Genomic DNA, 17,351 nt, shown 5'->3' on the forward strand with positions numbered 1-17,351 from the left:
TCATTTCAGGAGGCACATGGTACTGACTTATCCTATTATTGGTGATGTTAACTTTGATCACTTGGTTTATGTGGTGTCTGATTTCTCCACTAAAATTTATTATTTTTGCCTTTGTAATCAATAAATGTATTGTGGTAGCATAGTTTGTGACTACGCATTACTTCTTCAGATACTTCTTTTTCTCTTTTTTCCTTCCTTTCTGAAACTCCAATTATGTCTTTCCATTGTATCCTCTGTGTCTCTTTTTTTTTTTTTTTTTTGAGACAGAGTCTCGCTCTGTTGCCCAGGCTGGAGTGCAGTGGCGTGATCTCAGCTCCCTGCAAACTCCGCCTCCCAGGTTCAAGCAATTCTCCTGCCTCAGCCTCCCGAGTAGCTGGGACTACAAGAGCACACAACCACACCCAGCTAATTTTTGTATTTTTAGAGATGGGGTTTCACCATGTTGACCAGGAGAGTCTCGATCTCTTGACCTCATGATCTGCCTGCCTCGGCCTCCTAAAGCGCTGGGATTACAGGCAGGAGCCACTGCGCCTGGCCCCTCTGTGTCTTTTATCTTGCATTTTTAATTTTTATTTTTCAGTTTATTTATGCTTCTCTCTGGGTATTTTCTTCTGCCCTTCATTTCACCATTTCTGTCTTTAGCTGTGTCTAATGTGCTGTTAAACCTATCCACTGAGTTTCTAATTTCAGTTATTGTGTTTTTCAGTTCTATGTTTTCTACTTTTGTTTTTAATTCCGCAATATCACTTTGTATAGTTTTTGGTTATGAAAACTATTCTTGCTGCCATTCTTTTTATCTCCAGTAGCTTAGTAGGCTTAAATGCTGTACAATGTCTCTAACTCTACTCTTTGGAACCAGGTGGATTGTTGTTCTTTTGTTCATGTTATCTTATTGCCTTATATATTTGGCTCTCTTTAATTATGTGTGGACATCACATTTTAAAAGTTATTTGTAGAAATAATTTGAGACCTACAATGGTGGTATCTTTCAGAGAAGACTTGTTTTCTGGGGCCACTAGCTATCTGAAATCACCTTAAACTAATTTTAGGATGTGAGATTTTTCTGGACCATTGAGATGTTTCAAAGCAGGGATACTTATTTTTGGTCCACCCTCACTCCTAGAATGCAATCTTTTAGCATCCCAACCCAAAGCCTAGGCTGTCTGGCCTGATCCTCCACCCTGGCAATCCCTGTGAGGCTGACAAAATGGCTACTTCACATTTTAGCTGTCATTTTTAGGTCAGCAAACACCTCCAGAGCAAAAGTAGCTATAAACTTTGGATTTATCTCTCTGGATTTTCATCTTTTGGACTTTCACCCAGTAATTCTTATTACCTTGCTTGCTTTTTGATGTTTTAAAGAAAATATTTATTTTTATTGCAGATTTAGTTGTCTTGAATGGGAGTTTTGGTTCAAATCACCTAGTCTGCATTACTTAAGTAGTATTTTCTATGTTAAATAGTTTATTCTAGATCATAATATTAAAGTTTATATATTGTAAAATTAATTTTAAATTCAGCCTTTGGTAATATGGAAAAACAAAATTTTCACTTTTCCTATTTAGCAAGTAACAATCGCTACTTAATTTAAGGGCAACAAAATTTGCTGACATATATTTTAAAATAACATTGTATTGAGCTTGATTGGGGGCCAAATGCATATTAAAATGTAGATGAAAATTAGTCTTCCTGTTATGGCATCAAAAATAGACAAAGACTTCTTTCATGTTTTGATGTTTGGGATTCTTGAATTTTGCACTTAAAAAAGCAACACATTTACTTTCTTAAAAATAACTTTTATGTCTAAACAAATACATTTTTCTCTAGATAATGAGCTAAGTGAGGTTTCAGACTCCTATTTATAAGCCCTTCTATACATTTATCATGTATATAACTATATTACCAATAAAGAAAAAGAAGATATTTTCATAGTAATTCCTTTAAGTGTTTTTTTTTAATACTAGGCCCATCTTAAAATATTATATAGTATTTAAAAACCAGATTTGAGCAATTTATAAATCTGGTAAAAAAATTTCTTCAAAAGAATTTGCTGAATTATTATAATACTTAATATTAGCATGGTATTTTAACATCATTGTACTTTAAGCTACCTGGTTTAAGGATTCATTATGGAATGAATGACATGATGTCAAAATGTAATTTTTTCAATTACACATACACAAATAATTGTATGTAAAAACACTAAGAGTAGCTGATAAATGCCGCAATCATCAAACAGCCAAAGCAAAGAGCTAGTAGTGCTCGCCTAAAACTGACTACGTTAGTCCATTTATATCTTTCTGTAAACTTGATGCTTTTACCATGCTTCTGTAAACTTGATGCTTCAACTTCCACCTTGCATGCACATGCTGGACATGTTCTGTGTTCTGGACAACCATGTAAAAAGCCTGAATCATCTTAGCTTTGCTTCATGCCTCCCTGGTTGCCCAACTCCCCTCTGGAAGAATCCTCCTCCCTGGGGTTGCCTTCCAAATACAAACCCGCCTAGCCAGAGTCTTGGTGATTCCCCGTGTGCTTCCCCTTATGGCCTAATAGATACTCCCTCTCTTGAGGTCTGTAATTATAATCAACTATTGTTTCAATGGCAGCTGTCTCCTGATCTGTTGGCCTCACTTTACCTGAAAAATAATAAAACCTATCAAAACAAGTATGAGCCAATGCTGATTTGGTAAGAATTTGAAAGCTCTGAAACTGTCCCATTTGAAGTAAAGAGTGTTTAAAGGTTTATGTTATTTTATTTTATAGCATTTAGCAATAGATGCCATCACCATGAGGAACAAACTGCAATCTGAAGAATGCCATGATGATACTTTGGAGGTTCTCATAGTGGAGAAATGCTCAGCTAGAGGGAAGTGCCTCTGCAAAAATCTGCCAGAGGAAAATAATAATTCATAGTCATTACTAAATACAGTAGTATGTCGAGTATAAAATATTTCTTAATCTTAGGTTTAACAAAGGAACTGACTTCAGAAAGATGGTAGAAACTAGATTTCTTCTGAAACCACATTTTGATAACAACAGTTATCAAACCCTGGCTAACTGAAATGAATTAGGAATGGCACAAGGCAATACTTTTAAGGACACATTTCTTTTTTTTTTTAATTTTCAAGGTGTATGTTTCCTTTTTTTAAAATTTTATTATTATTATACTTTAAGTTTTAGCAGACACTTCTCAAAAGAAGACATTTATGCAGCCAAAAGACACATGAAAAGGACGCTTTTCTTAAGAGCATCAGGAATCATTTTCCTGGAGGACGTTATATTAAGTGAAATAAGCCAGGCACAAAAAGACAAATACTGCATGCTCTCACTTATATGTGGAATCTAAAAAAGTTGAATTCATAAAGCACAGAGTAGAATGGTAGTTACTAGGAGCTGGGGGTGGGTTGGGGTGGGTGGATGGAGAGATGTTGGTCAAAAGATACAAAATTTAGTTAGGAGAAATAGTTCAAAAGATCTATTGTACAATGTGATGACTACAGTTAATAACAATGTATTGTATTCCTGAAAATTGCTTAGAGAGGAGATGTTAAGTGTTCTCACTACAAAAAATGATAAGCATGCAAGGTAACACATATGTTAATTAGCTTAAATGAGCCATTTCTCAAAACATCTTGTTGTATATGATCTCTGTATAATTTTTTGTCAATTAAAAATAATTTTTAAAAAGAGCCATTTTCTCTTAGTAGCCAAGTCAAATAGTATCAAATGGTGTCTTGTGTTAAAAGGGTACAAGTGAGAGGCAGTGTTTATACCACATGAATGTCTGCTGATACCAATTTAGATACGTTTTTAATAGTTCTAGTTGAATATAACAAAAAATGTTTTCTCAAAGAACCTCATTTTGTAAGAACAAAGGTTCACAAGAGAAGGTTATGAATACTTTTTCATAAATGCAGAAGCTAAGATCGCAATATTAATCAAATATTTTTATATAACTGAATAAGGTCTAATACTTCAGAACTTTGTCAAAACACTACTCTTTATGGAGAACAGCAAAGCTCTGGGCATATGTGTACATGCATGTATATAATAAAATCTTGAGCATTTCCTGTAATTGCTGAAAATGGAAAGAACTATTACAAGACATCTGTGACATAATTTACAGTTGAGTACAAATCCTCATTTGTAATATCAGATGTCTTGATTATGCCTTTATAAATGCCACATAAATAATGTGTAGTAGAATAGCTGTGCTGGCACATGCAATGTACATTTAAACATCTCTTAAAAGCTAATTTCTCACTTGGCAGAACTCTCTAGCTCAACGGTAATATCACAAACAGCAACCCACACATCCTTTTGAAATGCTTAACCCTGCTATAGATACACACTTTTAAAAACAACATAGAAAATACTTATTTTCAAACTTTCTTGATAGTGACCAAATCTCAGTCTAAGAAGCTCCAGTATTGTTCAGGTTCTTTGACAGCACTGGAAACATTCAGTATCAAGTATTTATTGAAACAACCTATCAGCTGGCTGAGGTTTAGAAATATGCCACACAGAATTGTTTTGGCAAAGCAATGGTCATGGCTAATGGGAAATGATCCATACTTTTAAGCACTTTTAAATCAAGGTTAGTAACATTCTAAAAATTGTGGGTTTTTTGAAGATAATGTACAAATTATTTTAAACTTGAGGATCTGTGAAAATATAAATCATTTGATACATCACATATCTTTTTCAAGAATTGGAAAACTCATTATTCGGTCTATTTTGTCTCTGAGTTAAATAGCTTGATTGTACCATATGTTGGCAAGGGAGTAGCGAAATAGGAATTTTCATACATTTCTGGTGGGAGTGTGAACTGACAAAACCTCTATGGAGGGCAATTTGAAACACATCTATAAAAGAAAGTACATATCCTCTTTGGCCAAAAAATTCTATTTCTGAGAACTTATTCTACTTGTACATATGTGAAACAACTTTCTATCATGTTCTTCCTTGCAACAATGTTTATAACAGCATAAGATTTGAAATCTAATATCAGTAGAAGACTGGTTAAGGAAATCTGGTATATCTATGGCAATAGAAGAACATGCAGTTGTAAAAAGGAAGAAGCTTTTTAGATTTTGTTATGGATTATCATAGACATCTTAAGTGAAGAAGGCAAGTAGTAAAACTGTGTGTATAGTTTGTTATAATTTATGAAAAAAGGGAGAAGACAAATATATCTATAGATACACATTAATATATAGGGATATATAAGTATAATTAACATATTAATGTATTATGTATATACCTACAAATTTATGCAGAGGTACATATTTGTGTCTATCTGTTATCTTCTTGGATTTGTGTAGAATACCTCTGTAAGAAGCTAGTAACACTGCTTGCCTCTGCAAAAGGAATTGGGTGACTGGAGAAGAGGAATAGGAGGGGGTCTTAAAAATTGTATATCCTTTGAACATCTTGAATTTTCAACATCAATGCATTGTTACCTATTCAAAAATAAATACGTCCAACTTTTTATAAGTCCATTTGAGCCCTACATATGTCAGGACACAAAGGAGTTACTCATTGGCAGAGTAACTGATGTGCTGAGAATGAAGCACCCTAAATGTTTACTTCCCTTAAAATAGAAACAAAAGCTGATGTCTACTAAAAGGCTTCCTTCCTGTCCCTCATATCTCATCAAGTCCTGCATGAAGGCATGATTTATGACAGTTCACTGCCAGATCTTAGAGAAATATAAATAAAACCAAAATTGGAACACAACTGCTGAACTTGGAGAGTTGGAATGAGGTCAGGTTAGCGCCTCGACCGGATGTCAGGAAATTATAGCTTCATTTCTGCTGCAAGAGTAGCAGTGACTCATGTTCCCCAGCAGAAACTGAGACAAAGTCCATCATAAATACCGCATGTCATTTCTGAACCTGCTTGGGAGCTGTGAGAATTAAATGAGCTAACATTTTATAAATAATTTGGAACCCCTTGATAGAAAAGTGTTACATAAGAAGAGTTTTATAATTCTGTGCTTTCTCTATCTTCCTTAAAAAGAAAAACAAAAAACAAAAAACGAACCCAAAAGCCAATGGTCTCATTATAAGCAAGAAGCTAAGTGTGACAAAAATGATTTTTGTGTGGCCATACTGAAAAGAAATAAGTTCCTATTTTTGAGGTTCAATCTGGCCTATTACTTTAAGAAAATGCTTTTGGTTCCAAAGGTCATTTTGTTTTTAGGAATAATCCTTCTATATAGTACAAGAATTATATTCTTGAAATGTTTCCAAATTAAGTACAGGAGGTTACTTTCAGCTTTCAGTAACATACATGTATTCTTTACCTCCCAAGTGGAGAAGGATGCAGGGTTTGTCCCAAACTGTTTTAATTTTAACAATTTTTTTTTTTTACAAAATTCTTTGAAGTGAAACATTTAGGAATGTATTTAACTTCTCATTAAATTACAAACACATTTATTATATAAAGAGATCTGTACTTTATTATATTTCTTTCAGGGTTATGATTTTCTAAGTGGAATGAAGAATGTCATTAAAAGGAAGACAGGATCTATATGTTTAAAATGGCTAAGTGGAACTCATAGTCCCTAAAGCATGTCCATAGATTTTTGTTGAAAAAAGTTGAAGACAGTTAACTGTGGATTCTTTGAATAGTATTGGGAACCCTCAGATCTATAATCAGTGTTTACTAAGTTTTCCTTTACAATCACCTGGGGTTGTGGTAGTCCATATTTCGTAAGATAGTCTGAAAAAAGTACCCAGGCAAATTAGATTTTTCCCATCTACCTTCCTTTTGAGCCAAAACACTGAATCACTCAGTGCTAGGTTATTTCTAAAACTTCTCTTTGCTAACCCCAGATCAAACTAAAACTGCAGTTCTGCAATAGTTTGGTTTTGCTTTGCTTTTGCCTCCACTCTCTTTCATAGGTCTCTATGGTGTCATTAACACTTTTTGTCCTTCTGATTAAAAAGCTTACATCTTTTTCAAAAAAGGTTTCCTCTGTATATGAGGCATGAAAGGCAGAATTTGTATGTGGAAAGGGTGTGTGAACAGTAATTTGATTGGAAAGGGTGAAATGATGTTGAGAAAATGTCAATTGTCAATTTCAAAATATGTCAGCTGGTGATGGAGGTTGTGTGGGGTTAAGGTAAAATAGAGCTACAACTTATTAACCTTGGGTTATCCTAATCAGATTGGTTTGTTGTTCCTCAAAACACTGGAGTGAATGAGAACATGTGTTTCAGTAAGGAAACCAGAATCTGAGAACAGATTGTGTAAGAGAATAACAAAGATCTTCAAGGACTCGAAAAAATAGAAGGAACACATCTGGTTGTGGCAGTTAGCAAAAGCTTTCTGATGAGCTAGTGTCCGAGACTGGCCCTTCTGCCTGGTAAAGAAGGAAGCGGTGGTTATTCCCAAAGATGTGGCAATAACAGCTCACCCTCGCCTCCTTCAGACCTTTGCTCAAATGCCACATTTTTAATGATGTCTTCTTCCCTGACCGGTCATTCCATTTAAAATTACATTGCGTCCCTTACCTTTTTCCCTGCTTTACGTTTCCCTACAACCATGACCATCTGATATACCATATTTTTTACTTATTTGTTTTTTGTTAATCTCTCTCCACCACAATATGAAGTTTCTTGAGGACAGGGATTGTTGGTTGTGTTTCCTGCTGTATCCCTCAGCATCCAGAACAGTGCCTGGCACAGAGTCCCTTAATAAACATTTGTGGAATTTGTTTCTACATTTGTACATACAACGCTCAGAGACTGGGAAACATAGGACACGTGGAGATTAGAGAAAAATCTGTGGAGGTTCTATCAACTTTGCGTTTTGTTTGTTTGTTTTTTGAGATTGAGTTTCATTCTTTTTACCCGGGCTGGAGTGCAATGGTGCGGTCTCAGCTCACTGCAACCTCCACCTCCCGGGTTCAAGCGATTTTCCCGCCTCAGCCTCCCAAGTAGCTGGGACTACAGGCACCTGTCACCATGCCTAATTTTTTTTTGTATTTTTAGTAGAGATGGGGTTTCACCATGTTGGCCAGGCTGCTCTTGATCTCCTGACCTCAGGTGATCCACATGCCTTGGCCTCCAAAACTGTTGGGATTACAGCCATGAGCCACTGTGCCCAGCCACGTTTTTTTTTTTTTCTTTTTCTTTTTTTGCTCTGGATGACCTAATAACTCTCTCTGAGCTCCTTGTCTGAAGTCCAGTTTCTACTCATGGTTGTGTCCTCACAATACCATGTGTGATTCATCCAATGCCCAACATAGAGTATTCCATTTAGATCTGTTTGTGGAATGAGTATGCTTGTTAAGTTCTCAGTCTGTGTTAGATTTTCTAAAATATAAACTACATTCATCCCTTGGTATTGAATGGGGATTAATTGGTTCTAGGGCCCCCATGGATACCAAAATTTGCAGATGCTCAAGTTCCTGATATAAAATGCCCTGGTATTTGCATATAACCTACACACATTCTCCTGTATACCTTAAAACAACTCTAGATTACTTATAATGCCTAATACAATGTAAATGTTATATAGCTGTTATATTTTAAAAATTTGTATTTTTGTATTATTGTATTGCTTTTTTTTTTTTTTTTTTGCATGTTTTCCATCCATGGTTGTTTGAATATGTGAATATGGATCCCATGGATGTGGGGACCTAGTGATCTGTGATAGTCAGTGGATCCACAAGGCTTATGGCTAGAAGTCCCAGAGAAAGGGTCAGTTTTAGAGATACTGGTTCTATTAAAGTAACACCAGCTGTGGCAACAGATAGACCAGAATGTACATCGGCTCAAACTCAATAGTTTTCCCTCGTTTCTGAGGCAAATATTCCTTGCTGGTGAATGATTTTGCACCATGTGGTGATTTGAAGACCAGGCCTTGTTCAGTTTACAGATCCACTATACCCTAAGGCTTTGTCATAGTCATGCACAGCCAATGGATAGGAAGGAGGGTTACAAAGCCTTGGACCATAGGGGGAACTCATCACTTCTGCTTCCTCTCCACTGGCTGTCTGTTATACACAGGGTCACTCCTACCTGTAAAAAGGCTATGGAATATGGGCCCAGAAGAATTCAATTTTTGTCTTTGCGATAGTTTACTGAGAATGATGATTTCCAATTTCAAGGACAAAAAAACAAACACCGCATGTTCTCACTCATAGGTGGGAATTGAACAATGAAAACACATGGACACAGGAAGGGGAACATCACACTCTGGGGACTGTTTTGGGGTGGGGGAGGGGGGAGGGATAGCATTAGGAGATATACCTAATGCTAAGTGATGAGTTAATGGGTGCAGCACATCAGCATGGCACATGTATACATATGTAACAAACCTGCACATTGTGCACATGTGCCCTAAAACATATACCCTAAAAAGTATAATAATAATAAAAAAATTAAATTAAAAAAAAGAATTCCATTTTTGATGACTAGTCACTATGCTCTTTTACTCACTATATATCTGCTTGAGAGGACCACCCAAAGTCTCTTCAGAAGCAGTTTTCTCCAATAGGTCCAGGTATGGCTCTTTATGCTCTAAGACATACAAACTAAAAAGCAGATTACCTGCCCCCTGCAGCCTCCCTTTTACCATTTATGGTGCCCAGCAGAGACAGGATATCCACAATAACATCTCCCTTTTGGAACAGGAGGAATGCAGAGGTGTGCGATCACAGACTCAGGTCATGATGACACCTGTCTCTGCGGGCATGACAAAGACTCCCTGCTTTGGTGGTGGAGAAAGGTCCTTGGTTGGACCCAGCATCTGCTCTCTGATATCTCTGGAACTAACTGTCCCGTTCTCTGGTTTTCTCTAGGAGGTTCTCCTTTGCCCATTATTCTTCCTGGCCACATCTAAAGTGGATATTGGTGAGTATGCACTCCTTGGAGGCAAGCAACTTTTGCAGTCAACTTCTGGTTTGTTCAGGTTTGAGGTCCTGATAGTTGTATAATGCTCTATCTTGCAAAATTTTATTTTATTTTATATTTTGGTCAGGTCTGTGATATTGTGGGTCATGTCGCAGAAACTATATGGGCTTCTGGTTTATTTTCTCCTAGGAAGTTTCATTAAGTAACCACACTCTAAGTTCTTTCCTAGATGTAACTCTCAAATCTGTCTTCTTCTTCTTCCTCTTCTTCTTCTTCTTCTTTCCTCCTCCTCCTCCTCCTCCTCCTCCTCCCCCTCCTCCCCCCCCTCCTCTTCTTCTTCTTCCTCTTCTTCTTCTTCTTCTTCTTCTTCTTCTTCTTCTTCTTCTTCTTCTTCTTCTTCTTCTTCTTCTTCTTCTTCTTCTTCTTCTCCTCCTCCTCCTTTCTTCTTTCTTCTTCTTGTTATTATTTTGCTTCCTGGCCCCCATGCCTTTCCACCTCTCTTCAACTTAATGGAAGCTACTTTGAGGGCATCTGAAAGAGTAGGCGGGGTGGAAAGGTAGAAAAGTAACTCCCTTAATCTAAGCTACTTTGCAAACCTGAGAAATCTTAACGGGTCTTCTTTGCTTGAAACCATCTTTAGTCTTTTTTTGTGTGTGTTTGGGATCTAGAATCAGCCTGATTTTCCTGTCCTTTCAGACCCCAGATTCCTTTTTATTTCTGCTTGTAAACCTGTCTATTTCTTCTTGACTTCAGCTATTTATTGTAATACCTTTCTACAAGTGAGAAGGACCAAGATACACTAACATCCCAGGTATTTCCAACTACTTTCCTTAGAGCTATAGGGTCAATAGACACTTGCCTTATCTTCCAAGTTCAACTGATAGTTTTATCAAATGTTTCGTCACTACATCACACTGGTATCTTTCTTTCCACATTGTGATATCTATGTTCCTTTGTCTACTGCCCAATTGCTAAGCTCAGGCTATACACTATTTTCATTTGTTAAGATAGCACTCTATTTCAATGTACCATTTTCTCTACTAGTTGTGGTGATGCTCAAAAACAATATAATGACTGAAATATAAGAGACATTTATTTCTTGGTCACATAACAGACAAAGGTGGTTATTTCTTGTGAGTGGGCAGCTTTCCTCTATGGAGTGATTTGAGGATCCAGAAATTTTCCATGTCTGGCTCTTTCATCTTCTTGGGTCCTGTTTTTACTGTTATCCAGGCTGCAGAAGAGGAAGGAAGGAATGGAGGAAGAACTTTCATTCTTTAAAGTTTCAGCTGAGAAAAAGCCCACATCACTTTTGTGTACATTCTGATACAGACAGGAGGCAGGAGAGTAGGGTCCCTGGCAAGGGCTCTACCCTCAAGCCTGGACCCACGGCCCTAAATGAGAACAGGCATTCCTGTTTTCATGCCGAAATATTGCCTTTTGGCCCACCATGTCCCCCTATCCTGTGTCCATATAAAGCCCAAACCCCAGGCTCCATGAGCAGAAGAGCAGCAGAGCCACATGGCAGAGAAGAAAAGAAGAGGAACATCTGAACATCGAGAGGAGTTCGACTGGGGAATGGTCATAGAGGAGATTGGCCACAGGATGGCCAAACTCCAGGGGAAGATCATCTTCCCGCTCCGTTCACTTTCCAGCTCCCCATCCATCTTGCTGAGAGCCACCTCCATCACTCAATTCAATTCCTGCATTCACCATCCTTCAAGTCTGTGTGACCTGATTCTTCCTGGATGCTGGGCAAGGACCCAGGTACCAAGAGGGCGGGGTATAAAAAGCTGTCACCCTGACTCTCCACTGAGTTGGTTAACACTTAGCCATCCATGGATGGCAAAGCTAAAGGAACACTGTAATACCCCTAGATGCTGCCATGGGGCCGGAGCCCAACAGCGCTCACCCCAGCTCACCTGCATTCTCTCCTTCCTGTAAGGGGTTTGAGTGCATGGTGGCTGAGTAAATGAGCCACCCCCTTTGTGAGGAGTCCCATGAAGGGGCCAAGGCAATTCTCCCATCTCAGTTCCACTGGTCATGATCAGTTGTATGGCCACACTTAACTAATTGTAGGGAAGGTTGTGAAATACAGCACCCATGTGGAGGAGAAGACAGAATTTTGTTGAGTTACTTATAGTCTGCCATACAAAGACCATTTGAAGAAGCTCTGAAAGCCCAGAGTCCTCCCATCCCAATGGGTATGCCAGCTTGTACATGTGTCACTCTATGGTATCTGTTCATCCTAGACTCACATTGCACAACGTCCTTTGATTCTTCCCTTCTGTGAGGCTTGTAGTCTAAATGTTTGCAAGCATCACTTTGCATCTGTCCTTGAGAGAACCTTATTTTCTGTGTTTCTGAACCTTCTACTGTTTTATTAAAGTTACCTGGAATCCTGATTACAACACCCTCAAATAACTACTCTCTTAATATCCATTGATGCCACCTTCCCACTTCATGGATCTCCTGTAGAGAACATTATTCAAGGATTTGATGATGAAAAAGAGGCTAAATATTACTGGTAGGAGAATTAACTTTTATGGCTCATGTTTCTTATATTCCTGACCTGAAACTGAATTCACTTATGGTTGTGTGATATAGATCTTATTTGTACAAGTTATTAAATAATAAATTATGCTAAGCAATATCCTATGTCCTGTGAAAGTCAACGTTGAATATATATCATTTTTCTTGACCAACCTTGTCCAAGTGGTCTCCTGATTCATAAGGGCTCTTATGTTCCTGAAAGAAATTAGGTAACCCCGAGAGATTTTGCTATTCCAGAAACAATGTTGTGTTTTATTTATAATCTATCAATTGTTCTCCCCAGTATTTTCAAATACATATGATAAACAATTAGATCTGTGATATGTAGAGTCAGTCTTAGATTTGTTAAAATAGAAATACTGGTCGGGCACGGTGGCTCATGCCTGTAATCCCAGCACTTTGGGAGGCCAAGGCAGGTGGATCACTTGAGGTCAGGAGTTCGAGACCAACATGGTCAATATGGTGAAACCCCTTCTTTACTAAAAATACAAAACTTAGCTGGGCATGGTGGCTTGTGCCTGTAATCCCAGCTACTTGGGAGGCTGTGACAGGAGAATCGCTTGAACCTGGGAGGTGGAGGTTGCAGTGAGCCAACATTGTGCCACTGCATTCCAGCCTGGGTGACAGAGCGAGACTCCGTCTCAACAAAACAAAACAAAACAAAACAAAACAAAACAAAACAAAAACCCCCCAAAAACCAAAAAACCATAGTTAGGCCAGTCACAGTGGCTCACACCTGTAATCCCAGTGCTTCAGGAGGCTGAGGCAGGAGGATTGCTTGAGCCCAGAAGTTCGAGACCAACCTGGGCAACATGGAAAGACTCTGACTCTACAAAAAACTTTTTAGAAATTTATCTGGGCATAGTGGTATGCCCCTGTAGTTCCAGCTATTCAGAAGGATTGCTTGAGCCCAGGAGTCAGAGGCTGCAATGAACTGTGATTGCACCACTGCATTCCAGACTCCAGCTTGGGTGACAGGCCGAGACTCTTTTTCTCTTTGAGAAAAAAAAAAGAGAGAAAAAAAATACCATACTCATTGTTACCATTTCCCCCCAAGTCTCTCAGCACCTCCTCAGTTATTCACATTATTCTATGACTTTTTAATATTTGCTGTCAATTATCTAAATATACTAAGATGAAACATGCTTAGATTACTTAAACACATTATTAGTCAAGGCAGAAATAAGAAAGCTAAGCAGGTTGCTGGAGGTGACAGGAGAGATGACTGACTTCCCAGGGCCATGCCATTTTCAGATAACACTGTGAAGGGAACCATGTTTGTCTATGGCGAAGTTCCAGCTTCCCCATCCAGGCTCCCTTCCTCAGCACATGTACATGTCCAGTGTCCTTTCTCACTATCAGCTGGCCACCAAATAATCTCAACAAAAACCTTTTTTTTTGAGCTTGATAAAGATTTCAGGTGAGACTTCTTGCTAAGTCATGTTAGAAAGGAACTCAAATTGGAAAAGTCTTCTGCAGAGTGGAAAAACAGAGTTGTTTAATTTTTTTCAATCTATAAATTGGGATAATGCCAACCTGTCTTTAAACTATGAGGATTACATTAAATAACATGTATTTGCCATTTAGCAGAGTATTTAGCACATGGTAGTATATAATTGTTATTATAAGTACCTTCTTTTTTTTTGGTAGGTAGAAGGATTTTATATTATCCCATAACATCTACCATGGCCATGGCCTTTTCACTCCTTCTTTTTTTTTTTTGAGATGGAGTATTGCTCTGTCGCCTGGGTTAGAGTGCAGTGGTGCAATGCCGGCTCACTGCAACCTCCACCTCCCAGGTTCAAGTGATTCTCCTGCCTCAGCTTCCCTAGTAGCTGGGATTACAAGCACACACCACCATGCCCTGCTAATTTTTTGTATTTTTAGTAGAGACAGGGTTTTGCCATGTTGGCCAGGCTGGTCTCAAACACTTGACCTCAGGTGATCTGCCTGCCTCAGCCTCCCAAAGTGCTGGGATTACAGGTGTGAGGGATTACACCACGCCCATCCTCGCCTTTTCACTTCTCTATATTCCACTTTAGATGGTAGGGTTAGGGACAACGAGAACCTTATTTTATCTTGTTAATTACGCAGAACATTACTTTATCTTGTTAATCACCACATCTCTGGACCAGCAAAGGTGTTATTCCAGGTACCAATAGATTGCCTCTCAATTCCAGATCTACCCTCTTTTTGTCTTGCCTTGTGAAACTCAAGCTAGACTCCATAAATATTTCTCCTTTGATAGCTGGTCAATGTTAGGCTTTGTCAAGAGAGGACTTTTCAAGACACTGGGAAGGAAGGAAATTCTTTTCCTAGTTCTCATATGCTTTTTTCTTTCCTATGACATGGAAACTGGTGCCATGTGGAAGGCCCAGTGACACTTACTCTCTGGCAAGTTTTGCTCATACCAAAGCAAGAGGCCAGCCCTAGCCTGCTGGCGGCACAGCAAATTTCTCACTTTGCGGTGCATGGATTCCAAGAAGGCCTAAATCTCACCCTTCTGATAGAGGGGAAGATGCTCCATCAAGTTCTTATTCCCTTCCTTGGACAATCTTCCTAATGCCAAAGAGTAGTAGTTCTCTGCATTTATATTTTCTATCTTATGTCTTTTAGTAATTAGTTGTCATTTACTAGCTAATATTACTTTATATCAAAAATTTTCTGTTCAAATTATTGGTGTGTCTGTTTCCTGACTGGACCTTGACTGATCTTGGTTGCACAATACAAATTCATGGACAAAATGAATGGACTGTCTAAGTATGGCCCTGGATATGGTGGCTGAAGTTTTAGGGCAGAGAGGGATATGGAAGAAGGGAAGGAGGAAAGAAAAGTATATCCTGCCATTCCATTGTTTATCTTCCCACCTGTTCTCTCCTTGTCTGAAAGCCCAAAGGTTGCTTCTTCCATATATTCTCAAAAGGCTATGTATCTATATTATCAAAAGCCTCAGCGTGGCCCCATAACACAGAGGCATCTTCTGACTGTGCTCCCAATATCACCTCTCTAAGGGAGTCAACAAGCCTTGTGATGCAACTCCCAAAGATCACAATCTCTGTACTGGGTCAATGTCTTTTCCCTTATGCTTCATGCTCTCTGTACCTTCTCCTTTCTTCTTTCTCAATATGATGCTGATTCTTAGCCCAGATCATAGTCCATATTCAAAATGTAACTGGAATTTGAGAGAGCAGAAGAAACACTGATGATCAGATAGCCTCAAAGCAAATCCAATTATCAGCAAAACATCTAAGAGATGTATTTGTGGGACCATGGGAATTTTAATCATTCCACATTTATACAACTCGGAAAACAAAATGGTAGAAAACAGGAAACTTCTTTAATCAAGCAAAGTCTTTGTGGTTATGGCTGATGAATATGCAAAAGCTTCTCTGAATTTTTTTAGGGCACAAAGTATTGCCACATATGCATCCCTAATAGCTGTTTTTAGGTTATTAGAAAGGAATGGGTTTGCTAATCAAGTAAGCCAGAGGCTTAAAGAGATACAGACATTTTTGATTATACAAAAACCACAAATTGACTCCAAGGCAGAGCACCTGAGCTCTGACTTTCAAATTCACATGTTTCTGATAATCAGCATTGCTGTATTCATTGAGTTAGTCAACACCCAAAGGCAAAAATCTTAAGGTTAGGTGAGGCTCTAATGGAAGACTGCAGATCTCAAAGATAGTTCTCTAAGAAGTTTATCATCAAGCTATTACAGAAATCCCACTTCCTCCATAAAACTTCGTTAGTAATTGAGGAAATGGATAATTTCCCCTACCTCATACCCTTGCCTATTTCATGATACCTGTTTGCTCCATCATTTTACAACAGTTTTTATTTACACCTACCATTTTTTATCATGATTGAAAATAAATTATGCATATGTTCCTGATGAGAATCCAAGTTAGTGTTGTTTGTATTATAATTATAGGCAAATAGATGGATGAATGAACTACATATGCTCATTCACTCAAGCAATATTTGTTGACTGTCTACTATTGCCAGGCACTAGGGAAACAAAGATGAGTCAGACATCAGTCCTATCCAAAGATGAATGGTAAGTCATCCTTCTCTCAGGGAGTTCTCAATCTGGTAAGGGAGACACAGTATGTGGACAAATTGCTACAGTGTATGTAGAGATATATATGTACATGCCAGCTGCAGGTTAGTACAAATGTGGAAATGATTGACTCTTTCTGTGGTTCCCTACTTTACAGATCAGGAAATAGAAGCACTGAGAAATCAGGTAACTTGCTGACACTCACACAACTAGTGATATGGACAGGAGACCGGGAAATCCTGGGTAGAAGAGGGCAGTTCCTGGGCAAAGGCCCCACCCTCAAGCCTGTATACCCATGGCCCTAAATGAGACCAGGCATTCCTGTTTTTGTGCCCAAAAAGTTGCCTTTTGGCCTGCTATGCCCCCTATCCTGCACCCATATAAACCCTGAACACCAGGCTTCAGAAATAGACCAGCAGACAGATGGCAGAATGATGCGGCAGAGAGAGAGAGAGACGAGGAGGAACATCTGAACTCTGAGAGGAGTTCGGCTGGTGGGTCGTCGGAGAGGAGTCGGGCCTATTCCAGCTCCCTATCCATCCCAGGATAGGGATAGCCACCTCCACCACTCAATAAAACCTTGCATTCATCCTTCAAGCCCGTGTGTGACCCAATTTTTCTGGGATGCTGGGCAAGAGCTCGAGATACAGAAAGCTGTCACTGGCCCTCTGCCCTTGTGAAAAGGCAGAGGGACCATTGAGCTGCAGATGGCAAAGCTGAAAGAGCTTTGTAACTCCTAGACACTACCATGGGCTGGAGCCCAAAGCACTCACCCCAGCCTCTGCACTTGCCTGTCTGCATGCTCCCCATCCCACATGGGGTTTGAGCAGTGGGGTGACTGAACAGGTGAGACACACCACTGTCAC

General features: G+C 38.8%; 1 protein-coding gene and 1 long non-coding RNA gene across 4 annotated transcripts in view; one reads left to right on the plus strand and one right to left on the minus strand.

Annotated features, from left to right (window-relative positions):
• CPA6 (carboxypeptidase A6) overlaps positions 1-17,351 on the minus strand; it is a 324,323-nt gene that overhangs the window by 174,919 nt on the left and 132,053 nt on the right. The gene's annotated exons all lie outside the window — the stretch shown is intronic.
• The window catches only part of LOC105375886 (uncharacterized), a 58,475-nt gene that overhangs the window by 40,914 nt on the left and 210 nt on the right, over positions 1-17,351 (plus strand). Inside the window, exon 3 of the long non-coding RNA XR_007060953.1 lies at positions 9,818-9,869. This is a non-coding gene — a long non-coding RNA (uncharacterized LOC105375886). The remainder of the gene's footprint in view (positions 1-9,817; positions 9,870-17,351) is intronic.

Source organism: Homo sapiens, chromosome 8, assembly GCF_000001405.40.
Source record: "Homo sapiens chromosome 8, GRCh38.p14 Primary Assembly".
Lineage (NCBI taxonomy): Eukaryota > Metazoa > Chordata > Mammalia > Primates > Hominidae > Homo > Homo sapiens.